The following is a 27,329-nucleotide window of genomic DNA, read 5'->3' on the forward strand; positions in this document are numbered from 1 at the left end:
CAGCTGCCAGTGCCCTCATGGACAGAGCTGCATCCTGCTTCCTGTTTCCTGCTTCCTGCTCCTTCTTTCACTCTATCAGTAGTTTCTGCCTGAGGCCCTACTCTGTGTGGGCTCAGCTCCAGGTGCTAGGGAACAAAGGCAAAGAGCTCACATGGAGCTCAAAGATCAGTAGGAGAGCCACGCAACCAATCAAATGTATAACATTGATATGCTGTCAAGAAATGGAAATGCTATCAAAAAATAAAGTGGAGTAGGGAATAGGAAGTGATGGGACAGTTTTAGCTGAGTGGTCAGGACATGCTTCTCTGCAGAGGTGATATTTGAGCATAGACCCTAAGGAAGAGTCAGGGGCAAACTAGGCAGCTAGCTGGGGAAGAGGGTTCTTGGCACAGGGAACAGCCCGTGCAAAGGCCCTGAGGTAGGCACCTGCTGGGCATGTTCAAGGAATACTGAGATGGTGAATTAACTGGAGTGGAGTGAGCAAGGGGGAGAGTGTGGGGAGACCGGGTCAGTGAAGCAGGGGATCACAGGGGGCCTTTTGAGCTGCACTGAGAACTTCAGGTTTTACTCCAAGAGAAGGAGTGGAAGGCCATTGGGAGGCTTTTATTGAAGAAGCAACAAGGTGGGGAGTCCAGGAAGTACGGAGCCAGTGAGGAAGTGACTGCACTAATCCAGGTGAGAAATGAAGGTACTGGGACCGGAGTGTGATGCAGGTGGGAAGGAGTGGTTGGATTCTGGGTTTATTTTGAAGGTAGAGCCAAGAGGATTGGCTGGCAGGGAAGGAAGAGAAAGAGATAAGTCAAGGAGGGCACCAAGGTATTTTGCCTGAGGAACTGCACGAACAGACTGAGATGGAGCAGGCAACAAACATCATTCTCAGCTGCCATGCGTTGGTGCATATTTTCTCTGTCTCTCTCTCTCGTCTCTGTCTCTCGCTCTCCTCTTTATGCATTAATCCTGCCCTCACCTATTTTCAGATGAGAAAACTGAGGCTGAGACCCACTCGAGATCACACACATAGTGAGGGGCAGCGCCTGGAATTGCATGCATATCTCTTAGCCACTGAGCTACACTGTCCCATCAGAACTGGAGTTAGGGTCATCTGTTCATTCCTTATTTCATCCACCAGATCCTTGTGTGTCTAAGACCTTTTAGCAGGTCTGGTGCTGGGCACCTGAGAAGGACGTGGAAACCATCAGGACCTGGAAATCATCAAGCCAACACCTCAGTAGTGATGGAAACCCAGAGAGGGCACTGTGGGGCATCCCAAGCTCATCCTAAGCAAGTAGAAGTCAGAATGTGCAGAGGTCGGGAGCAGGGGATAGGGAATGAGAGCTCCTGGATTCAAAGCCTGGCTCTGGAGCTCTCAAGGTGTGGGCTCTTGGACAAGCTCCTTAAGTTCTCTGTGCCTCAGTTTTCTCATCTGTGAAATGGGGATAAGAATTGTGTCCACGTAAGATAATCACAGGGAGGCATCATGAGATAATGTGCTGAAACCCTTCAGGCCTGGGGCTTAACACACACTCCTATGTTTACCTGTGATTAGTACTATTAGGCAGTCAGCACTCAAACCCAGGTCTCTCCGTGATGGCTGAGGCAATCAGCTCTCTGCCCCTGCAACACCACCAGTACACCCACCCAGAGGTGTTGGGGAGGGCTCAGCTCTGGGTGGAGCTAGATCCCCAGAGCCTGAGAACAGTGTTTAGGGCCCGACAGTGTGGTCCCACCCCTTATGGGCTCCTATGAGCTGCCTGCCTGCCTGCCGAGTTGCTCAATCACTGACTTCCCCAGGAAAGCACTAATTACAGCAAAGCTCCCCTGGGTTCAGTGATCTGTCACAGCCCCTAGGCATCAGAGCACTGGCTACAGTCTCTACAGCAAGCGCTGTCCTGCCCTCTGCCTTCGCCCTAAGGGGAGGACAGAAACCACAGGGATGGACAGACTAACCAACACGGAAACTGGGGCCAGGCTTACAAAGGAGTCTCACCTTGGCTTGAATGGCAGTCTATTCAGCGGTTCTCAAAGTGTGATCCCTGAATCAGTAGCGTCAGTATCACCTGGGACCTTGTTAGAAATGCAGATTTTCAGACCTTACCTAAGGCCTACTGAATCAGACACTCCATGGCTAGGGCCCTGGAATCAGTGTTTTAACAATCCCTCCAGGGGCTATTGGTATCAGCTCACGTTGTAGAACCAAAGCTCTGATGCCTGTGCAGCTGTGGTTGGATGGAGGCCTGTGGAGAGGCGATTATGAAGTGGGATGGATTGAAGCACAGGTTCATAGAGACCCACCTTCAAATCCAGGCTGTGCCAATTCCTTACCCTGAGATTGGATCGTGGGCAGAGAGCTTCATTTATTTATTATTTTTACTTACTATTATTTTAGAGATAGGTTCTCACTCTGTTGCCCAGGCTGGAGTGCAGTGGAGCAATCATAGGTCACTGCAGCCTGGAACTCCTGGGCTCAAGCAATCCTCCCACCTCTGCCTCCCAAAGTGCTGGGATTACAGGTGTAAGCCACCATGCCCAGCCCAGTTTTTAAATTTAATACATATTTATTGACAACCTATTGTTTACTGTTAAAGACCCTGGAGCTACAGCTCTGGGACAAAACAATGGCAGCGGCCAACACTTAACCGATATTAACTCATTTAACCCTCACAAGAAACCTTTCAGGTAAGGTCCTATCATTACCCCGAAGGAAGCACAGATCATCAAAATAACTTGCCCCACGGGGCTAGTCTGAGAGACCGCTGGAGTGCAAGCCACTAGGATAAACTGACCTGGAGCTAGTTAGGGAGACAGACAAAATGCAGTGGAGACACACAATATTAGCAGGTCGTGATGCATGCTATGAAGATAAAATAGGGAAGAGGGTAGGGCATATTGGGCAGGCGTGAGGGTGACTACTTTAACAGGGTGGTCTGGCAAGGCCTCTCAAGGAGGTGGCGTGTGAGCAGAGGCCTCCTGAAGTCTCAGCTGCCTCATCTGTAGAATGAGGGAATGATTAGCTCACCCCCCCAGGTGTGGTATGAATGTCACAAGTCTGTAAAGCATAGTAGCTGCTGAACAGATGGGAATTGTTACTGTTTGGAAAACTGAGTTCAAATCCTGACTGGTCTGGCCACCCAGACAAAGGGCCTGTTGTGAACCTTGGAGATTACCCTTACTCTGTAAGGGCCGGAGGACATAGCAGGGGCTCGGTAAGGTCACTCCCATCTCCCATCCCCCCAACCCCACTTGCCTTCCAGCCTGGTGAGCAGCAACTCTTGGGGCAGTTGGTTCCCTGGTCCAGGCTGCCCAGGAGTCCGTGCTGTTTTTATTTTTATTGTTCTGGCTTCACAGCTGAGACCTCTAACTCCAAATGGCTCTTCTTGCCCAGAAAAATAGGTCGTTGGCAGCTCCAGCCTCCTGGCAGGCCTGCCTGCTGACGCCAGCCCAGGGTTACGGGAAGTGGGGAGCAGAGCGCGGGCAGGGCTGGAACCAGGTGAAGCTGGGCTGTGCAGGTGCCAGCGTGCCCCACAGGGTGGCCCTGGTCAAGTCGTGTTCTGTCTCTCAGTGTGTTTCCTCACCTCTGGGAACACCGCGGAGTTGCTGAGGCTTCAGTGAGATAATGTATCTCAAAGGACCTAGAACACACAAGGGTGTCATCTACCCCCCTGCAAAGGCCAAACTCCAGATAGGCCCTGCCATGCCATCGTGGCTGCTTTCACATCCTTGTCACTACTGACCCCTCGTATCAGAGTTTGTTATCCCTATTTCACAGATGAAAAGACTGAGGCTCAATTTTTTTTTTTGCCCAAGTTGCATAAGTCAAATTGGCAAAATCTTGGCTTCCAAGCCCCTGATCCTCTCCTTCTCATGCCCATTTGTCTTCTTCCCTTGACAACAGGGAAGGAATGTGATCTGACTTCTGTGCAAGGATTCCTCGGGCTGGTGAGTGAGGAATCGACAGAAGGCACAAGGTGGAAATAGGGCGCCCAGGTGAGAGCGGTGGAGGCTCAGACGAGGGCGGAAGCAGCGGAGGCGCTGAGAAGTGGTTTGGCCCTGGTTGTGATGAGAAGGCCCAGCAGGCAGGATTTGCTGACAGATTGTGCCCTCTAGGAGTAAGAGGAAGAGTCAAGCAGCAAAAGCAGGGATGCAACCACCCCTGGCTTCCCATCTCACCTCCTCGGTGAGACCTTCCTTGATCCGTTTTCAAAATTGCAATCTATCCCTCTCATCAGCACTCCTGGGCCTCTTCCCTGGCTAATTCCCCCCACCCCGTAGCACCTGTCCCATTTGACAAACTAAATAATTTACTTATCTTATCGGTTCGTTTCCTCCCACTAGAATGTCAGCTTCTTGAGGGCAGAGATTTTTATCTGTTTTCCAGCTGTTGCATTCCCAGTGCCTGGCACCTAGCAGATGCTTAATACTGTTGAGTGCGTGAGTGAACATGTGTGAAGGCAGTTAGATTTTAACGCAGGGCAGCACAGACCTCCTGCTGTGCGGGTGGCTGATTCATGTCAATTATCTGCCATAATCTCTCTGTGTGGCCTCAGACAAGTTGCCCCTCACATCAGTCTACCCATGGCCCGTGGGTCTCAATGGCTTCTCAGCCTTGAGGTTGGCCAAGGATGATTTTTATGTGGACAGAGAACAAGGGTCAGGGCCCCCTCCAGGGGGAGAGGTGAGGGAAGCCCTGCTGAGCGCCTTTGCCAAAGGTGCTATATATAAATAGCAGGTGGTTCAATTATTATCCTTCCCTAATCTCCAGTTTCCTAATCCCCCAGCAGGTTTGTGAGTGTGTATGTGTCTTGAGGAACAGTGAACAGCAGAGCCTTCTGGAAGTCCAGGGCAGGAGGCTGCCTCTTCTCTGACTTCATCAGCAGCCCCCATCTCCACTCCCACCCCAGATGGAGTCTGGTGACAGATTTTCCCAGGAGCCTCCCTGGTTACCTTCATGGTCTAGACCCGATGTGGCCTGAAGAGTTGGAGACCTTCCCTGCACCCACCTCAGATACCAGGATAACCCCAGAACAATCTTTCTCATTGGTGCCCAATTCCACGCTCCTCTCTCTCCAGTCCACCCTCCGCTTGCAGACTGGCCTTTTAGACACATAAATCAGACATGGCCCTCCCGTGCTGAAAACCCTCTAGGGGTCTCCCAACTGCAGAATAAACGCAGGCTCTTTACCCAGGTCTTGGAGACCATCCCACCCTCCCCAGTCCTGCATACTGCGCTTTCTCTCCTCCGGCCTAGCCACCTGGGGCCTTCCCCTCCTTGTGCTGGGCCCTCTTCCTGGAACACCTTTCTCCCCAAATCTTCGCCTTGCTGACCCTACTTGTGATTCAGCAACCCATGTCTCAGGGAGGTCTTACTGGCCCCCTTATCTAAATACGCTCACCCCTCTCCTTCTCTAAGTTCAATCTTCCGTTCTTCATTAATTATTTCTACTTGTCCACTTACCTGTCTCCCCTAGTAGAATATAAATTCCTCATGGACAGGGACCTCGTGCTCTCCCACACCCAGAGAAATGAAAATTCCCTTGCACTTCAAATGCTGCCCAGAACCCTGTGGGTTCTCAAGGACTGTTGTCAAACACTTCACTTATTTATCAAATGCTTATGTTGCACTTGGTATGTGCTAGGCTCTTTTTAACATGTCTTACAAATATTAACTCATCAAATCCTCACAATTGAGACTCACGCTGGCCTCGTCTCAGATGAAGAAGCTGAGGCACAGAAGAGGTAAGGCACTTTCCAGTCCACCCAGCTCATAACAGTAGCCGGGGGATTTGAACCCACGGAGTTCAGCCCATGTTCTCAAGTGTGGCACCTTCCCTGCCCCCCTGCACAACAGCAGGGCCATGCCTTCACCAGGAGGCTCGGGGCAGGAGGGGAGGCAGTGGTGTTACTTTGCACAGGTCTTTAACCTGGGAATCAGGAATTCAAATCTTGTTTCTACCCCAAGCTTTGCTGTGTGGCCTTAAGCAAACCTATTCCCTCTCCGGGCCTCAACTTTCTGTCCATTTACAGGGTTGGGCCTTCTCTCACCTTGTGTCATTCCTGTCCTCTTAACCGCCACTGTGTGAACCAAAATTCTCTCCCATTAGCAGCGGGGTCTTGAACTTGTGTTCCTCCCACAGTGCGGAGCCTTCTGCCAGGTGACCACGACACTGGCACTCCCCATCACTGACCTGGCTACTACAGGAACGGCGTTCCCTCCGGGAAAACCGGGGTTCTGTCCTCTCCAACTCCAGGCCTCTGGCCCCGGCTCCCCTTCCCCTCATCTTCCTCAGGGCTTGTCCTTCTCCCGGAACCCAGGCCTTCAGGGCCCCGCTCTCCCACACACGCCCCGGCCTGGGCCTCCCACCCGCCCAGTCCGCCCTCCACCACCGAGACACCTGGCCAGGGGGCCTCCACCTCCCTGGGAAGGCCCCGACCCTTCCCCTCTGGTTGCGCGCCACAGCCCCCTTCTCGCTCCCTCTCCTCCCCGCGCCTCTTTTCCAGGCGGCACCGAAGTCCTTCCTACACACACGCTATTTTTGTACCATCATCTCTTCTTCCTCTCCCCTTCCCCCTGCGTTCACTTACTTCCTTCTTTTCCTTCACCTCGGCCCGGCTCTGAAAGGATCGGGCCCCTCCGGCCCGCACCCACCCCCAAGAGGGGCCTTCAGCTTTGGGGCTCAGAGGCACGACCTCCTGGGGAGGGTTAAAAGGCAGACGCCCCCCCGCCCCCCGCGCCCCCGCGCCCCGACTCCTTCGCCGCCTCCAGCCTCTCGCCAGTGGGAAGCGGGGAGCAGCCGCGCGGCCGGAGTCCGGAGGCGAGGGGAGGTCGGCCGCAACTTCCCCGGTCCACCTTAAGAGGACGATGTAGCCAGCTCGCAGCGCTGACCTTAGAAAAACAAGTTTGCGCAAAGTGGAGCGGGGACCCGGCCTCTGGGCAGCCCCGGCGGCGCTTCCAGTGCCTTCCAGCCCTCGCGGGCGGCGCAGGTCCGGGCCCGGCAGGGACGGGGAGGGGCAGAGCGGGACCGGTCGGGGCTGGGGACCAGCCGCGCGGGCTTCTGAACGGGCACGCTGTCGGAGCCGGAGGCTCGTCTAGTCCCGAGCCCCAGCGGGCCGCGGCGGCTCGCGGGGCCGCCTTCCCGGGACAGCAGCCGGGGCCCGGGCGCCGGCGCGGGGGAGGACGCTGCCCTCCCCGGCCGGGCGCGCAGCTCGCAGCCCTCGCTCCCTCCCCCGGGGCGCGCAGGCGGGCGCTCGCTCGCAGAGAAGGTGCCGGCGGGGCCGGAGCCCCGAAGCCTCCCCGGGCGGCGGGAAGACGGGAGGAGGGGAAAGGGAAGGAGGGAGGGGGTCGGGCTGCCGGGAGGGCGGGGGCAGCGGCCGGGACTGCGGGCCGGGAGCGAGCCCAGCCGCCCGCGCCGTGTGGAGCCCGGGCGGGGCAGGTGGGCAGCGGCGGGGGCGGCTCCGCGCGGCCGGGCTCGGCCGTGCTGCCCCTCGCCCCTGCTCGCGCGGTCCTCTCTCCCGCGCGGTCTGTCGGTCTGCGCGCCGCCTCGCTCCTCGCTCCTCGCTCTCCCCCTCTTTCTCCCCCTCTCGCCTCTCCGTGTCTCTGGCTCTCTGCCTGGCTCCCTTGGGTCTGTTTCTCTCTCCTGCCGCCTCTCTCTGGCCGCCCCTGGCTTTATTTCTCGCGCGCTTGGGGTCTCTCCCAGTCTCCGTCTCTCCATTTCTCCTGGGGGGCGGGGAGGGGGGGTCTCCAAAAACCGCGGCGGCGGCGGCGGCCGCTCCAGGCGCCCGTTCCGGAGTCGGGGGGAGGCCCAGCCGGGAGGGGGGAAGGGGGGGAGCCTTAGTCATTTCCCCGCTCCAGCCTGCTCCCGCCCGAGCGCGCACTCACGGCCGCTCTCCCTCCTCGCTCCGCAGCCGCGGCCCATGGAGCCCGCCGGCCCGGCCCCCGGCCGCCTCGGGCCGCTGCTCTGCCTGCTGCTCGCCGCGTCCTGCGCCTGGTCAGGTAAGCACCCCCCCGCTCCCCACCGCTGCACTCCCCAAACTGCGGGCTCAGGCCTCTCAGACTGGCACTGGGACCCCTTCGGCTAATGCCGAGCAGTAATAGGGGGAGAGACGCCTGTAACCAGGGTTATAGATGCAGAAACTGAGGCCCAGAGAGGGCCAGCGACATGCCCAAGGTCACACAGCCAAGGGTAGAACCCAAGTCTCTTCTATGAGAGTTTGTCTCTGTGGACTCTGACTCTGTGCACTGTGCTGGGCACTGAGACAAAAGAGCCGAGTTGCTTCACTCAGCCCCTGCCCGGTCCAATGGGGAAGGCTGACTGACAGTGGCTTTCAGAGCAGGGCCGTCCGGCTTCCCCAGAATCTGTCCCCATGGACATACGACTTTCCACATGTTTGACTTCAGGGTGTGAGGGGAGGAGGTGAGGGCAGAGGTCCTCCCGATGCTGCCTGGAATGGAACAGAGACAAGCTGTTGCAATTAGGGAAGAGTGAGCCCTCCCTCTGGTGCGCAGAGTAAACCGGTGTTAGTGTGTGCCTGGGAGAGAGGGAGCCGGGAGGCCGCGGTAACCCCAGAGCGAGCTGCTGCGAGCAACAGATCCTTATGTAAAAACACGGTGGATTGTCCCTGTGGTTGCCAAAGCCTCTCCCTGGTGGTCTTGCTCCTTGAGGCGCTCCCAGCTCCCCCTTCCTCCTGCCTTCCCCGAGCTTCCAGGCAGCTCCCTGCAGTTCAGGTGCTCCGCGGGGATGTTACCTGTGGCTCTGACCATGTCTTTCTGTTGGCCTACATCAAACACCTGGCTGTCGCCGGCAGGCGGGCTCTGAAGGCTACTGTGCATGTTCACCAAAGGGTGAGGTCACCATTCAGGAGTCTTGCTTCTTAAATGGGTTTTGCAAAACCATGGGTCTCCTGGGAGGGCACCGGGTGGGGGGCGGGGGGAGCAGAGAAATGGCATTAAGGGAGTTGGGAGGGAGAGAAAAATGGGGATCTTGTTTTTTGTCGTCTTGAAACTGTGTTGTAGGCAGTGGGGTCTCTCTGTACCTCCCACCCTTGAGGAGGGAGGTAAAGATGAGCTCAGTGTCCAACACCCCCTTTTGCGTTTGACTAGAGATGGTAACCATCTGATAGCAGGGAGAAAGGGAGAACTAGCAAAGAGTGGGTGGAAGGAGAAGTATGGGGGGTAGACAGCTGCTTCTCTCTGCCCTGCAGTTTCCCCTGAAACCCAGGAATTCACATAGGCATCCCCCCACCCCACCCCACCCTCCACCCCCAGTTCTTTTCAGTTATAGTTGCGTCCTTGCTGGGCTGAAGGGAGCACTGATACAGTTCACGTCTCTCCAGTGAGTGGCATCTCCTATCTGCTCCTTCCTGCCTGAGCTGGCCATTTGTACCCTGCAAAAGTCCGAGTTCCTGCCCTGCCATCCTTCCTGGCCTGGAAATGCACAAGTGTCACTCACAAGTGCTTAATTTTCCTGAAGCAGGGAATTGGGCCCGAGTTAATTTCTAAATGTCTATTCCAGACCCTTCTCCGACCAGGAGGCTGTGGTTCAGTCCCTGGCAAACGAGCAGTGACGCTGATTAGCAAGTGCTCCGATGGGCAGCCTGCCTTTCCTGGGGCACCGGCTGGGAACACCAACACCTTTCTTGTGAGCACATCTCCCCCTTTTGCCTATAAAAACAGTCTATAAGATGGTAAAGATTGGGCCATAAAACTTCCGTTCCAATCCATTCAGCATCAATAGCCTGAAAAAGTGGGAGCAGCAGAGGGGCCAAGATTAGCTTTGAAATAAATAAATCTTAGGAGGTAAGAATGAATTTCTTGGTCGAGGGTGGTGGGGAAGGGATGAGGTGCGACCATCATAGCTCAAGTCTCCCATTATCCTTCAGTATCTGTTCTTCGGGGTCCTGGTCACACCATGGGCCTGGGCAGGGAAGTCACCTGGTTTGGCTGAAGGATGGGGCCTCAGGCCCCTCCCCCTATTGCTCCAGACATGGAATTTACAACAAAGAAGTAGAGAGACAGGATATGAGGGTAGGAAGGTACAAGGAGGCAGTTGTCCAATTTTCTAAGAAAATGGATTTGTTCGAGTGAGAAACTAAAATGTCAGGTTTAGGAAGGCGGCTTTGGATTGAATGACTACTAGTGTCTCAGGCAGAACTGTCAGCCTGGGAGGTGTCACATGATTCCTGTGTCTTCACATGATCACTGTTTTGGGGGGGTGGGGCCAATCATGTGAATTATCCTGGGTGGGGGAGGCAAGAGAAGAAGTTTCTAAAGATTGCTTTTAGCACAAATGCTGCCAAAGGGAAATTCTAAAAAGATCCCAGTGAAGTCACCAACCTATGTTTTTGGACCCAATGTGAGGCCTGTTTCCTAAAACAACTGCACTGAGGGAGATTCTGAGGCTGGGAGAAGGGCAAGGGACTGAGGCCTGGGGACACCTGGCACCTGATTTTGTGTCAGCAGGGCCTGACGCTGAACCCGCAGGATGCCTGCTTGGCCCCAGGTAGGCCTTGAGACCTCTGAGTCACCCCCCAGGCCGACCTCAGATAAACTCCCATTCATTTCTTCTCTCTGGCCTGGAGGAGGCCAAGCCAAGTTGCAGTTCAGGCTCTGGGGAGCAGCGGGGCCCCCCAGTGAACCTCTCACCGTTTGGTAGAGGGTGGCACTCTGGGGGCTCCTCTGTACTTTCCTAAATGGTAAAGTTAATCTCACTTCCTCTTTCGTAAGAAGAGAAAACGGGGCGGGAGTGCTTTGGCTCAACACATCAGGCTGTTGGAAGTTCCTTTAAAGCCATAGTTTTCTCTGAGTACTTTCTGGCCTTTACCAACCCCTCGGAAACTCACGGTAATTCACGTCTGTACTTGCAGTCATGCAGCACCTATGCAGTGCTGGTGTGAACCATGTGTTGAGAGAAGGGAGGAAAACCAACATTCATTAGATAGTTAATGGCGTTCCAGGCCGGATGCTGCTCCTGCGTCGTCTCACCCGCAAGACATGGATTGGCTCTTCTCCCCATTCTGCAGATGCAGAAAATCGAGTCCCAAACTGGGGAACTAACTTATAAGTGATAGAGAGGAGCCAGGATTTTGGATGCTGGCCTTCCTGCTGGGTGGCTTCTAGGGAAGAAGCTCAATGACTTAATCAGGATGATTTAGTCCAAGCTGGAGAGGGAGTGAGAGAGGCCCCTTTCTGGCCTTGGGTGGAGGACTGTAGAAGAGTTCTTTCTCTGGGCAGAAGGTTTTGATGAAGTCACAGGCATTTCTCTGAAAGCCTGCTGAGGGTGGAAATACTGACAGCCCCTTGGTCCTCACCAGTAACAACACATGAGAGGTGATGTGGCTCCTGTGAGAGCCCCCCATCTGGGCTGCTGAGCTCTGGAGCCCCCAGAGCTGGAATATTCCTCCCTGCATCTTCCTGGTGCCCTTTGCGACAGATGGAGAGGGGGTGTGCGAGAGGAAGGGAGTCTAAAAGTGTTGTACGGATCCCACACGCGCTCGCTTGCTGCTTCCAATGGCTCCGTGCGACAGGTTATTTTCTTATTTGTAGTCTTGGACTGACGGAAGGTTTCCCCCCTCTCTCTCTCTTTTTAAATGTGCTCAGATTTCTGGCCTGTCAACACAACTCAGATCATGTCACTCCCCAGCTCAAAACTGTTGAGTGGGTCCAAGTTTTCTTTAAAAAAAAAAAACAAAAAAACACAAAGCTGCCGTGAGGCCTGGGCTTCCTCCCTGCCAGGCCTGATTTCCAGCCACATGTTTTCCAACAAGCTGACCTGTTGAGATGCTGCAGGATAACCAGGCTTCCTCCCTGCAGACCAGAGCTTTGCTGGCTACTCAGCCACACGAGCACCCCAAAGACCCTGAGAAGCCCTGCAATGTAGAATCCCGAGCTGGGTCACATTTACTCCAGTGTTCCCTGAACTTATGAACGAGAGGCATTTGATTTGTAGTATGCCCGTTAGCATGTGGCCTCTCTCCGTTTGGTAAACGGTTTTCTACAGATCCATGCCCTCAGCTGAACTCTCAGCTCTGTGCCTTGGCCCGTGCTGTTCCTGCCATCAGAAATGCCCTCCCTGTACCTCCTTGTCTTCCTGTGTCTGAATCCTACTCATCCTCCGAGGTTCAATTTAATGTGCCTCCTGGGGAGAGGTCAGAGGAGCCTCTCCACGCAGACACACACCCTGGCCTAGCGCTAAGATGGTGCTAAGACCCCTGGGTGTTGATCTGAGCCCTGCTACTGACTTGGACAATTTGCAGGAATCTGTGTCTCATTTTGCTCATCTGTAAAAGAGGAATGGTATTAACCACTCTATTGCAAGGATTAAGTTAATTAATGCGTGTATAATGCTGGAAGCCATGCCTTGTATGTAGTAAGCACTCAATACATATTAACCAGTGTTGTAATTAGCATGGCTTTATTCTGGTTTGATTCCTCTTTTTTAACAATTGGGACGGATTTTCATAAAACATCTAACACAGTTGCTTACACATAGGGGGTACTTAAAAAACAGCAAAGGCTGTTCAGTGAACAAATGTCCTTCAGCTTGATATTTTCCTTGTAGCTTTTTTTTTTTCTTTTTTTTTTTTTTGAGATGGAGTTTCACTCTTGTTGCCCAGGCTGGAGTGCAATGGCGTGATCTCGGCTCAACGCAACCTCCGCCTCCTGGGTTCAAGCGATTCTCCTGCCTCAGCCTCCCGAGTAGCTGGGATTACAGGGATGCGCCACCATGCCTGGCTGATTTTGTATTTTTAGTAGAGACAAGGTTTCTCCGTGTTGGTCAGGCTGGTCTCGAACTCCTGACCCCAGGTGATCCACCTCCCAAAGTGCTGGGATTACAGGCTGAGCCACCGCACCACCCAGCTGTCCTTGTAGCTTTTATGCTGTTGGGGGATGGACAAGTTGAGTAGAAACCCAGGCTAGAGTGATTTAATTGCCTGTTACTAGGGACTGAGTGCTGTGGGCACAGCCTGCCTCTAGGTGTCTCTATCTGGATCCACAGGTCTGCAGTTGTGGATTCCCGGACCTGCAAAGCAGTAGGGGGCCTGAGAGAGCCCTCTGTGCTTTCATCCAGTGCCTTATGGTGCGGCCAGAAGAACAGAGAGAAAAAAACTGGCCGGGCCCACGCGGGAGATCCATGGCAAGGCCCGGCTGGAACGCCAAGCCTCCTGTGGTCCAGGCCAAGGCTTTTAAAAACTGGGCTGTGCTGGAACTTTCCACTGTTTCAGCCAGAAATCTGACAGGATCCCGAATTCCCCGGGAAAACACTAAAGTAATACTAATAGGAACCATCTGGGTTCTCTGCTTCCTGGGCTCAGCACTTGGTGTGTGTGACCCTGGTGGTACTCACAGCCACCTGGCGATGCACGTCGTTATCTTCGGACCCGTTGGATCTGTGAGGAAACTGAGGCTCTGAATGGTGAAGCAGCTTGCCCAAGGCCACACCGTAAGCGCCAGATGTGGATAACCACTGTCGGCCTAATCACAGAGCCTATGTGGTTAACTGTTGTGCCATTCCTTAGCCGTCACTGAGGCTTGCTTGACAGGTAGGGAAACTGAGGCCCAGTTGTGCTGGCACCCTGCTCCCTTAGTGCTCCTCTCATTTTTGTTTTTGTTTTTTCTTCCTTTCTTTCTTTCTTTTTTTTTTTTTTTTTTTTTTTTTGAGACGGAGTCTTGCTCTGTCGCCCAGGCTGGAGTGCAGTGGTGCGACCTCGGCTCACTGCAGCCTCTGCCTCCTGGGTCCAAGCAATTCTCCTATCTCAGCCTCCCCAGTAGCTAGGACTACAGGCGCACACCGTCACGCCCAGCTAATTTTTGTGTTTTTAGTAGAGACTGGGTTTCACCATATTGATCAGGCTGGTCTCAAACTCCTGACCTCAGGTGATCCTCCCGCCTCGGCCTCCCAAAGTGCTGGGATTACAGGCGTGAGCCACTGCACCCGGCCTCCTCTCGTATTTCTATCAGTGCACCTTCCTATGAGGTGGGGGCAGTGTGTGTCCCCAAGGTGTGTCCCTGTCCCCATACTAGAGAAGGAAGCATCTATTTTCACAGCTGAAACTGCTTTCCTGTTAACTGCTGGTGTTCCTGGGATGGGTATTCTGATGAAGCCCTCCACGAGATGGATTTTCCCTGCCAGGTGTCTTGCCAGGCCCTCAGTCCAGAGAGATGCAAAACAGCTGAGGTGGAAGTCGGAAATGCTGCAGAATTGGTTCTTTGTGTCTGTAAGATTTCCTGGCACATTCGTTCGGGGGCGCAGGGTGTTAGATGGCTGCAGATTAGCGCCAAGAGCCCAAGGAGATCAGGTGCTCGGATCAGGAGGGAAATTGGAAGCCGGGAGTGAGCGATGGGCCTCCCAGCCAGGAGGGACGGCTGGAGCAGGTGGGCGGTGATACCAGCGCCGTTTCTACAGCTCCATTCTTCAGGCCGACCGTCGGTGTTCTCCAGAAATGGAAGCCCGTGGTGGAAGGAAATACTAGGTACACGATGTGCTCGGCACAGGCTGAGCCTTGAACATGTGTTAGCTCTTCCTTATCTTTTTATTTTGGAAAATTTCAAACATATGCAAAATGAGAAGGAATGATGTAATGAGCCTCAGCTTTGACACTGATCAACTCTATACCATGCTTGTCCCCTGCCCCTATTTTTGCTAGGGAGAGGAGAATCGGGGAGTATATAAAGCAAGTGCTAAACATGGGGTATCATTTCACCCACCGATACTCTCTCCACATCCCTTCATGTGAGCTGTTACCTGACCCTCACCACGAGCCAAACAGTATGGCCCTTCATCCCCACTTTACAGATAAGGCAACTGAGGCTTCCCAAGGCCAAGTGGGGCTCATCCTTAGGCCACACAGCCAGTGAGAGGTAAAGCCAGGCTCCACTCCTCACTTTACCCTTAACCACTTTGCAGTCATTATTAGGGTCATTTTAATTGTAAATATTCATTCAACAAATATTTTTGAGCACCTACTATGTGCCAGGGATGGCTCTAGGTGCTTGGAGGATACAAATGTGAACAAGACAGACAAAAACACCTGCTCTCGTGCAGCAGACATTCTAGTGAGGAAGAGAAAAACACACCCAAGTAAACAAATGATGCCAGGTAGCTGGGGAGAAAAGCAGGAGGAGGGAAGGGAGAAGGTTAGTCAGGACAGAGGGAGGGCCGCTCTAAGGAGCAGAGGCCTCAAGAAAATGTACAATTAAGGCCAGGTGCGGTGGCTCACGCCTATAATCCCAGCACTTTGGGAGGCTGAGGTGGGCAGATCACCTGAGGTCAGGAGTTTGAGACCAGCCTGGCCAACATGGCGAAATCCCATCTCCACTAAAAATACAAAAATTAGCCGGGCATGGTGGCGTGCGCCTGGAATCCCAGCTACTCTGGAGGCTGCGGCAGGAGAATCGCTTGACCCCAGGAGGCAGAGGTTGCAGTGAGCCGAGATTGCACCACTGCACTCCCGCCTGGGTGACAGAGCAAGACTCTGTCTCAAAAAAAAAAAAAAAAAAAAAGAAAAGAAAGAAAAGAAAATGGAGGAGTAGCCACGGGGGATAGCAAGAGCCCTCCATGTGGGAGGAATGGCAGATGCAAAGGCCCTGAGGCAGGAATGAGCTTGTATGTTCCAGGAATTGCAAAGAGGCCAGTGGGGCTGGAGTGAAAGTAGAAGAGGTGGGGGAGTGAGCAGAGGTCAGGGCCAGACCAGCAGGATCTGGCTCATTGAGCACCTAACATGGAGCATGTCTGGCTTGTGAGAGGATCATTATGCATTCTCTCATTTAATTCTCACCACGGGTTCTGTAAGATGGGAAATACCGTTAATCCATTGGACAGATGAAGAAACTGAGACTCAGAAAGGTAAAGTGACTTGCCTAAGGTCACACAGCTTTTATGTGCAGAACTAGGATTTAGGTCCCTGAATGCTGCAGCATCCCCATTGCTGCTTTCCGCAGCCGTCCTTGCCCCCTTCGGGCTCTTCACCCATAGCAGCTGGAGTGAATCAAGTCATCTTTGGTTCTGCTGGAAACCTTTTTCGGTTTCCAGCATGGCATTTCTGGACCACGTCTGTCTCTTCATCCTCACCTCTTACCACTCTCCTGCCTCCTTGGGCTTCAGCCTTGGCAGCGTCCTTTCTGGCCCTTCACCAGCTTCTTTCCCACCCGAGGGCCTTTGCACTGGCTGTCTCTTCTACGGGAGCATCTTCCCTGGTCTTCACTTCCTTTGGGTCTCAGCTGCCACCTCCCTTCCTTGGATGCTGTCCCAACCACCCCATTCCAAAAGAGGTTATCGCTTGTGATTCTCTATCACTGGGCCAAATCTGCCTGTTGCCTAGTGCTCCTAGCCCTTTCTATATTAATTCATTTCATTATTTCAGCCCTGTCTCCTCCACTAGGATATAAGCTGCACGAGAGATGGGCTATGTCTCTTACTCACTGTTGGGCCTCCCAGGACCTCAGCACAGGGCCTGACACACAGTAGGTGGGTTAATAGATACTGATTGAATGAAAGAACAAGGTGGGTACTAAAATCCCCCTTTTAAAGAGGAGGCTTGGAGTTATGAGGTTGTACGAGCAAAGCTTATTCCCTAACTACCACAGTCCCCCCCCTGCAGCCAGGGCCGGGATCATACCACAATTCCCTGCCCATCAAGCTGTCATGAATAGCCCTAAGATATCAGGAAGCACAAAGATATCAATGCCAGGAGGGATAGGAGGAGGCGGCCAAGAAACCCCGGAATTTGTACTTAAAATTCTGGCTACGCAAACTGCTTGCCCAACTTTAGACACCATGATGAATGATCAGGTGCTGCAACCATGAAACATGACGTAATTAGTGCTGCACTCTTGGCTGGGGGTTGGCTTGGAGGCCCCACCTCGAGGTTAGCCTCCCCCAGAGGGTCACTGCACGAGGCAGTCTGGTGCGGGGTGGGGGTTACAACAGAGGGAGGTGGAATCAGACCACTCGGCAGCCCTGTGACCATGGCCAAATGGTTGTACCTCCCAAAGCTTCACATCTGGTCCTCCGTGAAATGGGGGTGGCGACAGCCCTGTCTTACTGGGCTCCTGCAGAGGTTCCATGAGGCCTGTCTTGCTCTGGGCAGCGTCGATGCTTATTAGCTATTGTTACTGCTGTTATGTGATTGTCATCGTTTTATGGTTTGGGAATTTTAAAAGCTCCATCTTTTGCCAGCGGGGAGACCTGGAACCCACTCCTCTGCCCCCTCAGCCTCAGTTTCCCCTTCTGTGACCGGGAGGCTTGGCTCGGCTCCTCTCTTGCAGGTCCCTTCCAGCCCTGATGCTCCAGCCTGCATGTCCTCCTGGCCCTTTGTCCTGATGACTCCACAGACTCCTCTGGGAGGAGAGGCCATGGAGGGGCTTCTGCTCTGGGGCACATTCCTGAATTGGAGTCCAGCATGTGCCGCTTACTGGCTGTGTGCTCTGGGGCAGGTGTCTTCCCAGCTCTGAGCCTCCGTTTCCCCATCTGCAAAATGGAACCGCTAACACTGTTTCCTCCCAAATGGGTGACTGTTGAGGGTTAAGGAATTAAGAGCCGTGGAAAGTGCTTTTGCAAGCTGCAAAATGCTCTATAAAAGGAATCAGTGAATAGTGTCAGCTTGGGGAAAAATCCCGTCAGTCCGGAGACTGTCTGCTGCCGGCAGTGTGCTGAAACCCTGGCAAATGTCGTTTAATAAATGCGTGTTGCTTTTAAGAGGGCCTTTATCTCAGCTGGGAAAATGTGTGCGCATCCTTGGCAACCTGAGAATCCAGAAGCCTGAACTGGAGGGGACCTGTCACAGGGAGAGGCGATCGCATGGGGTGGCTCCAGCCTCCAGTGTTGGAATCCCACCTCTGCCACTTACCTACCTCTCCAGACTCTGCTTCCTCATCTGTAGGAGGGGACAGTGACAATAGCACCTGCCACTCTGGGCCAGGATGTCCTGAGGGCTAAATGAAGGCTTCTGGTTATCTGGCCTAACCCATGCATTTCCCCCATGAAAGTGTGGCTGTGCAGCACCAGGGCCTGTCTCAGGGCAATGGTTGGGGCCTGGAGATTGGGAGGACCTCCCAACCTCAGCCTCTCCAGGCCTTACTCCAGGCCTCAGTTTCTTCCTCTGCAAAATGAGGAGGAGGAAAGGTCCTTAGGTTGTCAAGGCACCAAGCCTAGTAGATGTCAATGTCCTCTACCTGCTCTCTCAGCCTCTGCCGGTCCCCCGAAGCCTGTTAATTCTAAAGGATATTTACACAGATTTGCAGTTCTTTTCCTGCCACTTTGCAAACAGGGTCACACTGCAAGCATCGCTTCATCACCTCCAGGTTTCATCTGAACCCAGCAAATGCTCCATAGGGCTCCCAGTGCCGCCTGTCCCCGCTGCCTCCTTGCCAGCAGTGTGCTCAGCCTGCTTACAGGCCCATGCCAGAGGGGCCTCATGCATGCATCAAGGCAGAGCTGGTTCTGCCTCGGAGAGGATCCCGAGCCTCTCAGGCTTAAGGACGTGGTCATCTGTCGCCCCCTTCATCTTTAGACACCCATCTGCATGGTGACAGCTGCTCTGCATTGAGTACTTACTCTGTGCCAGGCACGCTAGCCCGTTTCATCCTCAGAACAACCCTAGTATTGTTATCATCATCATCATCATCAGACCCATTCTACAGATAAAGAGCCAGAGGTCCAGAGTGGGCGAGACATTCCCTGGAGTCTCATGGGTAGCAGAGTTGGAATCCAAATCAAAACATACTTTCAGCCAGTGCCAGGCACTGCTCCAACCCTGGGGAAGAAAACTCAGTTCCTGCTCTCAAAGGACTTATAAGTGAGTCTATGACAGGGAGATGAGCGCTTTTAAAAAATTAACAAGGAAATGCGTAGCTTTTTGAGTGAGGATGACATATCGAACAATGAAGCAGAGCCAGGGACATTGAGGTGGGTAGTATTTTAGACAGAATGGCCAAGGAAGGCCTCTCAGATAGGCCTGAAGGAGAGGAGCGAGCCAGACATGTAGATATTTAGGGATGAGAGTGCCAGGCAGAGGCAATGGCGAGTGCAAAGGTCATGTGGTGAGTGGAGAATCTGGCACGATTGGGGGAAAGCAAGGCTGTAGGCCCCTGGGGCCACTGTAAAAATTCTGGGTTTCACTCTGAGTGCAGTGGGGGCTGTGGGAGGGTTTTGCACAAAGGAGGAACGTCACCTGACTTAGGTTTTAGAGGCTTCTCTGGCTGCTGGGGGAATGTGGCTGGTAGAGAGGTGAGGCAGAGGCAGGGAGGTCAGCGTGGAGGTTCAGTCAGGGTGGTAAGAAGAGGTCAGGGTCTGGCCATGTGTTGGAAGTTGAGCCAGCAGGATCTACTAACAGATGGGTTGTGGAACACGGATGAAAGGGAGTCAAGGAAATGTCTCATTCTGAGTCCAGCACTTCTAACCACAGAGCCTCTGACCTGGGGAGGGAGGGGGCTGCATTTCCTGTTTACAGGTGAGGAAACAGGCTTAGAGAAAAGCAACTTTGCCAAGCACCGTGCTACAGACAAGACATAAAGGTCATCTGGCCCCAGAACCTGAGCTCTGGACAGTCTTAGCACCTTAGAAGTTTACCTACTGCATGGATGGGGCCACCAGAGTCTGCCCCTTCCCTGCAGGGATGTGGCACAGCACTGAGTTCTCAGAGCTACCCAGGGCAAGGGTGAAGGAGTGGGGACCCTGAGCCCCTGGGCCAGCTGTCAGCTTATTTACCAGGCCACACGCATCCCCATTTTTGGTGGCTTCAATGCAGGTAGCAGTTTCTATCACAGCACCTGGTTTGTCCCTGCCCAATGGGTGTATCCAGTGGTGCCGGCAGAATGTTCCCAGTGCTGGCCTGCTCTTCAGATGGGCAACCGAAACCATCCTTCAGGGCGCTAGGTTAGCCCAGTCCCAGGTCCTCCCCATCTCAGCTTCCTTACAGCCAGTGAGCATGTTCCAAGGACTCTACCCTGAGTCCTGTCACCTCTGCGTCTTTGCTCATGTGGTTCCCTCCTCTTGGAATGCCTTCCTTCATCCCAGCCTCTGTCAGCCTTTAAGACCTAGCTCAGGGGCCACCAGCTCCAGGAAGTCTTCCTGGGTTTCACTCTCTTCCAGAACCCCATCCCTAAACCTCCTCTTGCAACACCGATCGCCATGTGCGTGGTCATTGCTCATGTCCAGGACGGCCCCACATGCTAAGATAGTCTCAAGGGCAAGGGCCTGTCTTACTTGGCTCTGTTTTCTGTGGTATCTAGGACAGGGCCTGGCAGCAGAGTGAGGTTTGAGAGGGCATGAATGAATCATTCTGACTCCAGAGGAAATCACTGTGTAGTCCTGGCTGTTGGAGCCCCAAGCTCTCTTCTTGGGAACTGTGGCATCCATGCAGCCATCCACTGGTGCAGCCCCGGCCATGAATGCAGCCCCAGCTACCTTTCGCCTTCCTGCATGGGGTCATGGGCTCCAGCAGATGGTTCTGGGCTAGCCTGTTGACAGCTGTGCCCTGTGGCCAGCACATAGTAAGTAGGTGCTCTGGAAAGGTTAGCACCTCCTATCAAGGGCACGACCCTAGACAGATACCACACAGGGTGTTGACCGCCAGGAGCCCATGGCAGACTTGAGGGAAGTGTGTCTCCTCACATCCTCCATCACCCTTGTGCTTGTGGAAACTTACACAGCAACCTCATCTATTCCAGGCACATGCCCAGCTGGACACACTCCCGAACACAGGCACACGGACACCTGGGGTGCACACAAATAGTGGCATGTGCATACCTCCCTGCTTGTCAATGCACACACCCTCATAGTCACATTTACGCATACAGCACTCTGTCACACACGTGCCACCCCCCACACACACCCTCTACACACACATACACACCACACTCACGTGCATGCCGCTCCTGCATCACTCTCCCACACACTCACACCCTCCCACACATGCCCAGGCCACCATGATTCAGACACTCTCCTGCACACAATTCACATGCCCACGCCCATGATCCCTAGCCCCCCATTCAGACACAGTCCTGTGTTGCACTCTGACATATTCCGGCACACAGGCACCGTCTCTTTCACACTCCTCCTTGTGCCCACCCATGTGTACATGTGTGTGCAGATGCTTATGCTCTGTACACGCATACATGTATGTACACACGTGTGTTCTCGTGTGCATACTCTTATGCACCCTCAGCACACTCATGTTCACATGTTCCATTGTACAGCCCTGTACTACATCCTGTGTGCATCCGCTTTAATGTACACTCATGTTCACGTGTTCTATTGCACAGCCCTGTACTATATCCTGTGTACATCCTCTTTAATGCACTCTTAATGTTCACATGTTCTCTGCATAGCCCTTTATTACATCCTGTTTGCATCCGCCTTAATGCACATTTATGTTCACATGTGCTATTGCAAGGTCCTGTACTACATCCTGTGAGCACCCTCTTTAATGCACACTCTTGCACTGCATACTCTGGCACACAGCATTAAATCACACCCAGAAGATAGTAGAGGCAGCCCCCGATGAGGAGCTGCTATAAGTGCGGGGTGGAAAATCGCAGCCTTCTGAGGATGGTGAATAACAATAATGATGAGGGAAGAAGGGAGCCGGGTATCACTGCAGCCACTTTAGAATGTTGAGCCCTGTGTACTGCCAGAGCTCCAGCCATAGCCTCCCAGACCCTGGGGGTCCTTGAGTACAAACAAAGAATCTACAAAGAATCCAAACAGGTGGCCTCCTGCCTGTCCCTGTGGCTTGTGCTGTGGTGACCCACTGCTTCCGGGGGATGGGCAAGCTCCCATGCAGTGGCAGTGAGCACCCGCCTGGGCAAGGCTGGTTCTTGGGAAATGTGCCTGTTGGCTTCCTTCTCCCCACCCCTTGAGACAGGCTTCTGGAAGACTCACACCCCAGGGTAAGGCAGCCCTCCCCATCCCCGCCTCAAGCTTCAGTTCTAAGTTGATTTTTTTTTCTATTAGAAAAAACATCCATGTGGGCAGGGCGCAGTGGCTCATGCCTGTAATCCCAGCACTTTGGGAGGCTGAGGCGGGCAGATCGCCTGAGGTCAGGAGTTTGAGACCAGCCTGGCCAACATGGTGAAACTCCATCTCTACTAAAAATACAAAAATTAGCCAGGTGTGGTGGCAGGCGCCTGCAACCCCAGCTACTTGGGAGGCTGAGGCAGGAGAATTGCTTGAACCCGGGAGGTGGAGGTTGCAGTGAGCCGAGATTGTGCCATTGCACTCCAGCCTGGGTGATGAGAGTGAGACTTCGTCTCAAAAGAAAAAAAAAGTATCCATGCTAATTTTTTTCACCCTTTATGAAATATTTTCATCTTTTAATCTCAAAAGCCACACACATGAACATTGTTTTTTAAGAAATCAAATATATTTTCTAAATCCCAGTGGTCAGTTCTCAGCCCCCATCTTATTGCATCTCTCAGTGGCATTCAATGCAGGTGGTCACACCCTCCTTGGCCAATTCAAAGAAGAGAAAGGAGATGTGGCGGGAGAAGCAGGTCACAGGAAGGGGCCGGGAGATGGGATCTAAGATGCCAGCAGGAGCCTCTTGCCCAGGGGGGTTAGGTACATTCCAGATGTAATCATTTGAGTGATTTCTTTGAAATCCATCTTTGCCTCGAGGGTGGAAGCTCCATGAGGCCAGGGACACAGCCATTTCACAGCCCTTAGCTCAGGGCCTGGCACAGGGAAGGATCCAGAATGCAGCACTGACCGCACTTGCTGTGGACACTGAGTTCCTCTTACAGCAAACATATGGTGACCACCCACTGTGCTGACTGCTCCCCTTAGGAAACGTGTTCGTGTGTTTTGTTTCATTACTTTTTAACTTTTTTCCAAAACCAATAAATGTTCACTGCAAAAAAATACAATATATGATGTATTATAAAGTAATAAGAAAACATGCCGACCCCATCCTACCTCAGTCCCATTTCCCAGATGCAACACACCACAGCATGCCATGTTTAACTTATCATCCTTGCAGACCTTTTTCTCTAGACATGCGATTGACCAATCAACAAAGATTTATCGAGCGTCTACACTGTGCCAACCACAGTAGCAGGAGCTGGGGAAACAGTGAACAAAACAGACTAAATCCCTGGAGGAGAGGTTCATTTAAACAGTACACATACGGTAACATACATCATTACATGTACAGGTTTTTTAAAAAACAAAATGAGATACTATAAATATTCTTTTGTGTTCATCCAATTTAGAGAAGCTGAAACAATGCCCAAAGTAGGAGGGGAAAAAAAGAGAAAAACCTCATGAGGTTTAGATTCATGATCCAAAGAGAGTTACATTTTATAGCTTTGTTTAATACCCTCCAGTTGTTTATATATAGTTTTATTTTACAAAGTCATGATCATACAGAGGGTATAGATTTTTCTCCATCTTTTTTTTTCTTACAAAAGAAATGCAAACAGAAAACATAAACAAGAGCAAAATCCCATGTAAATCTACCACTCAATCATGGCTAATCTTTAATATCATTGTTTTTTTCTAAAATTGGGAGTTTGGGATCACACTGGATCTACTACTTGGTAACAGACTCTGATCTTGTAACACATTTCCATTGTAATTCTATACCATCATTTTCATGGCTATAGACTTGGCCTATAGCTGTGAAAGTAGATTCACCATAATGGGATCAGCCAATCTCCTTTCCTTGGATATTAGGATATTTTCAATTTTTTATTTTCATACAGACACTTAAGTGAATGAAGCAAAATGTCTGCACATATTCTTAGTTACCTAAAGGTATGATGTTAGATTGTTTTTCTTCACTCATATTTTTACTACATCAGAATGTTGATTACAGTTATCTTTGATGGTATGATGTGAGATTATTACTTTGTTTCCATACTTATTTTCTCTAAATGCCTTGCAATGAACAGGTTTTATTTGCATAAACACAATATTATTTAAAATGATGCCATGAAAATTTCTATATGACCACCGTTTTCATGGTAATGGCTTGTTACGGCTGCCTGTAATTCCACATAGGGGATAGGCCGTAATTCACTTAACCATCCCCTATCATTGACCGGCTGGGCTTTTTCTAATGTCTTTAAGATCGTTATACAGGAAACCTACTCCATATCTGGGGTTACGTCCTCAGGGAGCAGCCCAGCAAAGGCTGGTGAACAGATTTCACACCTTTGGTTCATCCTGCCAAGCTGCTTTCCCGAAAAGATGTTCCAATTTCCCCTCCCACCGGCAGTGCGTGGGAATGCCTGCCCAGCCGCCCTCCTCTCCCTGAGACGGTTCAGGCCCCTGGACAGTCGCATCCTCTGCTAGGAGGGCAAGAGAAAGCAGGAAATAATTTGGCCAGCAAGTGACCCCAGACCCAGAGCCAGGAGTGATTTTTAACAAGCCTGATTCTCAGAACAGAACCTGCAGAGAAAAAGAAAGCAAGCAAGGAAAAAAAAAAAAAAACCCCTCTCTACTGGAAAAAACATACACATACACAGATTAAAATAATATTTGGCACTTACGTCGCACTTTTAAAATTCTTCAAACGCTTTATAAACACTAGCTAATTAATTAAGCCGCCTAAATCTGGCTGCAGTCGGTGGAGAGAGCTCGAGAGGAGCTAAAAAAAAAATGGGGGAGCCAGCGCTACACAACTCCAGATTTTATTGTCGCCTGCCTGGGGTGTGATTACAGGCCTCCGGCTGCACCACAAGAATAGCCCTGCTCCAACATGCTGCACGCCTGACTCCGCAGCCTCTCCTGCGCCTCCTGCTCCCTCACCAACTGCTGACTCACAGCCCCTTGTGGTGTTATTGATAAGGATAATAATAACTGCAAGCCAGGCTGAGTCCCGGGCTCCGGGCCTGCACCCTCCCCTGGATATGCCAGTATCAACTCCACCTAACACATGAAGAGAGAGGAGATTTGCCCAGGGTCATGGAGCCAACGACATCCTTCCTTCCTTCATTCATTACCGCATTCATTCTGCATATTTTTATCGATGACACTGTGTTTTAGGCAGGAGGTTGGAAACAGTCCCTTGTGGATCCTACATCCTACTATTGGGAATGTGACAATCCAGAGAAAATCAAATATGTGAATAATACAGCTATGTGATAATAATGGGAATAAGAATTAAAACTTACCCAGCACCTATGCAGCAGGCATACCACCGTGTCAGGGTCCTCATGACTGTGCTGGGGTGGATGCCGGAACCCCACTTCATGGATGATGGAATGGGGGTCCAGGGAAGGTGGGTACAGAGGTGGCTAAGAGGGGAGCCATGCTGTCACCCAGGCCTGCTGGCCCTAGCAACTGTGCTTCCCCGAGGCAGCCTTTCCAGTTGGTCCAGTCTCGAGGCTGAAATACAGACCTATCCGGAAAGTTCCTAGCTCAGTGCTGCTGGTGCTGCCTCTGATGTCCCCGCCTGGATGGGCCTCCCGGGCCTCCCACACATTTGGCCACCAGCCTCACCCCTCTCAGGCCGTCTGATGCTGGCTGGGCCTCTGTCCACTGTGGGTTCTGTCTGTCCACTGTGGGTTCTGTTTTTTTCTCCTGTGCCATGAAGATCTTGCCATGTTCAACTTCAAATGGAAATGAAATGAGAAGCTGGACTTCCTGATAATAAAAGCAGTTGAGGTCTTAAGTGGTTGATCAGGAAAAGGAAGTCGAAATGGTAATATTTACACCCAAAGCAGGTGGAGTGGTCTTAGGCACTCTGAGACTCCACTCACCTGCCATGAGAACCGGGCCCCAAGGGTGATCCCTTGCCAGAGTCAAGACTGGGTGAGGCTGGGAATGGGAGAAAGAGGCAGGACAATGGGCAGATAGCCCTGGGCTTCCTGCAGTGAGGGCAGATAGGGGTCTGTGAGCCTCTTTCCCTGGCTGCCCTGCCCCTGCCAGTGGGGTGGTGCCAGGCCATGGGTTGGTGGGCAAATTCACAGGGTCTCTCTCCTCCCCAGCCAGAGCCAGAGGGGCACAGCAGCTCTGGACATCTGCCGCAGCCTTGTCTGATGTACAAGGCAAAGGTGGCCCAGGTCAGGGCAGGACAAGGTCACATGAAGGGTCAGTGGAGAGCCCAACTGGGGCCCCAGGTCACCTGTCACCTGCATACCAGGTAGCTGCCACTCCTCTGTCTACCTGGTTCTCTCCTTCTCCCCTATTCTAGCTCGCTCTCTCACTCTGCGTCTGTCTCTCAGGCATGTGTTTCTCTGAGGTCTTTATGATCATGATCTTTCTTTTTTTTGTTTCTTGTACCTCACCTTGTTCAGAATCGAGGCCCTGGCTCTGCCTTGCTCTGAACTGTTCTCACTTGGTCCCTATCCATCTTCAACGCATCTCATGACAAGCTCGTCCTGCCCTCTTCCTGTCTGGGCTCCCCCCGTGCACCCCAATCTCTCCACCCAGGGTCCCTGTCTTGTGTGCCCCAGTGTCTCTGATTGGGGCTCAGGCTCCTGCAGCCAACCTCTACAATTCCTTCCAGCTGCCCATTTGGGAGCCCTTGAGGCCTGGACTGGGTCCAGCTCCAGTGTGTCCCCATCACAGTGAGGCCTGGATCACAGGGCATCAGCAGGTGTTGGTGAGAGTGAAGTTTGAGCCACAGCCACCTCCTTGTTTATTCAATGTATAGTAACAACAACTTCCTCAGGGCCCATCTCAGGGCTAAGTGACTTCTATGTGTGATCTCGTTTTCTTTTCAGAACAAAGCAGAGGCCTGGGGGCTGTTCTACCCATCCTGTAGATAAGAAAACTGAGACTCAAAACTGATGGATAAATTAAGGTCCCACAAGAACAAGGGGCGAGCCAGGTTTCAAACCAGGTCCGATGACTCTAAAGACCAGATGCTGCATTTGGACGCTGTCCCCAGCCTTGGCTTATTTTATCCTCCCAGAGATCCATCGAGGTGGGGTCATAGTAACTATTTTACAGATGAAGAAACCAAGGCTGAGAGCAGTAAGGGCAAACTAAGGGCAGCTCTTGCATTTGTGTGACACTTTGCTAGCCAGGCTCAGTCCTGGGTTCCAGGTGGGGACTCAAACACACTGGCACGAGTCTACATTGGATATTCTTGGTTACCTGAGTGGTGGCCCAAGGACACAGCTATAGGCCACTGATCCAGAACTCAAACTACATTCTCCTACTGCCCAAACCGCTGAGTACAGCCTCCCTTCTCGGGGCCTGCATCCTGGGCCAGGCCAGAAACAGAATCTTAACACCTTGTACAGCCCCAGATATGCCAGGCCCCTACCTCTGAGTCTTTGCCCAGGCTGTTCCCTCTGTCTGGAATACCAGGCTCCCTTCTGGCTCATTCAGATTAGAATTAGCCCAGCTCAGATGTGACTCTTCCAGAGAGGGTCCAGGCATTCAAAC

General features: G+C 52.5%; 1 protein-coding gene and 1 long non-coding RNA gene across 15 annotated transcripts in view, besides 8 other annotated features; one reads left to right on the forward strand and one right to left on the reverse strand.

Moving 5' to 3' along the window:
* Window positions 1-582: 582 nt before the first annotated feature.
* On the reverse strand, window positions 583-6,711 carry LOC102724545 (uncharacterized). Of its 2 annotated transcripts, NR_186374.1 has the most exons (4): window positions 6,580-6,711; window positions 3,245-3,629; window positions 1,988-2,064; window positions 583-770 (listed from the first exon to the last, which is right to left on the reverse strand). It is a non-coding gene; the product is annotated as an uncharacterized LOC102724545 (long non-coding RNA). The 2 variants fall into 2 exon arrangements; NR_186373.1 differs by lacking the exons at window positions 583-770; window positions 1,988-2,064 and having other exon boundaries at window positions 2,536-3,629.
* Window positions 2,923-3,447: an enhancer, noted in NCBI's record as "H3K4me1 hESC enhancer chr20:1871108-1871632 (GRCh37/hg19 assembly coordinates)". NCBI's record gives its function as "activates a minimal SCP1, AML or CMV promoter by ChIP-STARR-seq in primed H9 embryonic stem cells {active_cell/tissue: H9 hESC(primed)}" and the evidence as "EXISTENCE:reporter gene assay evidence [ECO:0000049][PMID:30033119]".
* The window catches only part of SIRPA (signal regulatory protein alpha), a 46,426-nt gene continuing 25,724 nt past the window's right edge, over window positions 6,628-27,329 (forward strand). For 4 of the 13 annotated variants that reach the window (XM_047439917.1, XM_047439919.1, NM_001330728.1 and 1 more), the window contains exons 1-2: window positions 6,628-6,978; window positions 7,900-7,987. In XM_047439917.1, the coding sequence (XP_047295873.1) occupies window positions 7,909-7,987 (79 nt within the window). In that variant the 5' untranslated portion in view covers window positions 6,628-6,978; window positions 7,900-7,908. Of the gene's footprint in view, window positions 6,979-7,202; window positions 7,258-7,396; window positions 7,428-7,867; window positions 7,988-9,299; window positions 26,863-27,329 lie in introns of those variants that run through there. The other 9 variants (XM_024451836.2, XM_047439916.1, XM_047439918.1 and 6 more) reach the window with 5 other exon arrangements.
* Window positions 6,832-7,091: a silencer, noted in NCBI's record as "silent region_12595". NCBI's record gives its function as "represses an Ori minimal core promoter by ATAC-STARR-seq in GM12878 lymphoblastoid cells {active_cell/tissue: GM12878}" and the evidence as "EXISTENCE:reporter gene assay evidence [ECO:0000049][PMID:35858748]".
* Window positions 7,102-7,221: a silencer, noted in NCBI's record as "silent region_12596". NCBI's record gives its function as "represses an Ori minimal core promoter by ATAC-STARR-seq in GM12878 lymphoblastoid cells {active_cell/tissue: GM12878}" and the evidence as "EXISTENCE:reporter gene assay evidence [ECO:0000049][PMID:35858748]".
* Window positions 8,513-9,028: an enhancer, noted in NCBI's record as "H3K4me1 hESC enhancer chr20:1876698-1877213 (GRCh37/hg19 assembly coordinates)". NCBI's record gives its function as "activates a minimal SCP1, AML or CMV promoter by ChIP-STARR-seq in naive H9 embryonic stem cells {active_cell/tissue: H9 hESC(naive)}" and the evidence as "EXISTENCE:reporter gene assay evidence [ECO:0000049][PMID:30033119]".
* Window positions 12,654-13,223: an enhancer, noted in NCBI's record as "NANOG-H3K27ac-H3K4me1 hESC enhancer chr20:1880839-1881408 (GRCh37/hg19 assembly coordinates)". NCBI's record gives its function as "activates a minimal SCP1, AML or CMV promoter by ChIP-STARR-seq in naive H9 embryonic stem cells {active_cell/tissue: H9 hESC(naive)}" and the evidence as "EXISTENCE:reporter gene assay evidence [ECO:0000049][PMID:30033119]".
* Window positions 13,033-13,082: an enhancer, noted in NCBI's record as "active region_17461". NCBI's record gives its function as "activates an Ori minimal core promoter by ATAC-STARR-seq in GM12878 lymphoblastoid cells {active_cell/tissue: GM12878}" and the evidence as "EXISTENCE:reporter gene assay evidence [ECO:0000049][PMID:35858748]".
* Window positions 14,320-14,819: an enhancer, noted in NCBI's record as "H3K4me1 hESC enhancer chr20:1882505-1883004 (GRCh37/hg19 assembly coordinates)". NCBI's record gives its function as "activates a minimal SCP1, AML or CMV promoter by ChIP-STARR-seq in primed H9 embryonic stem cells {active_cell/tissue: H9 hESC(primed)}" and the evidence as "EXISTENCE:reporter gene assay evidence [ECO:0000049][PMID:30033119]".
* Window positions 19,035-19,114: a silencer, noted in NCBI's record as "silent region_12597". NCBI's record gives its function as "represses an Ori minimal core promoter by ATAC-STARR-seq in GM12878 lymphoblastoid cells {active_cell/tissue: GM12878}" and the evidence as "EXISTENCE:reporter gene assay evidence [ECO:0000049][PMID:35858748]".

This window comes from Homo sapiens, chromosome 20 (genome assembly GCF_000001405.40).
Source record: "Homo sapiens chromosome 20, GRCh38.p14 Primary Assembly".
NCBI lineage: Eukaryota > Metazoa > Chordata > Mammalia > Primates > Hominidae > Homo > Homo sapiens.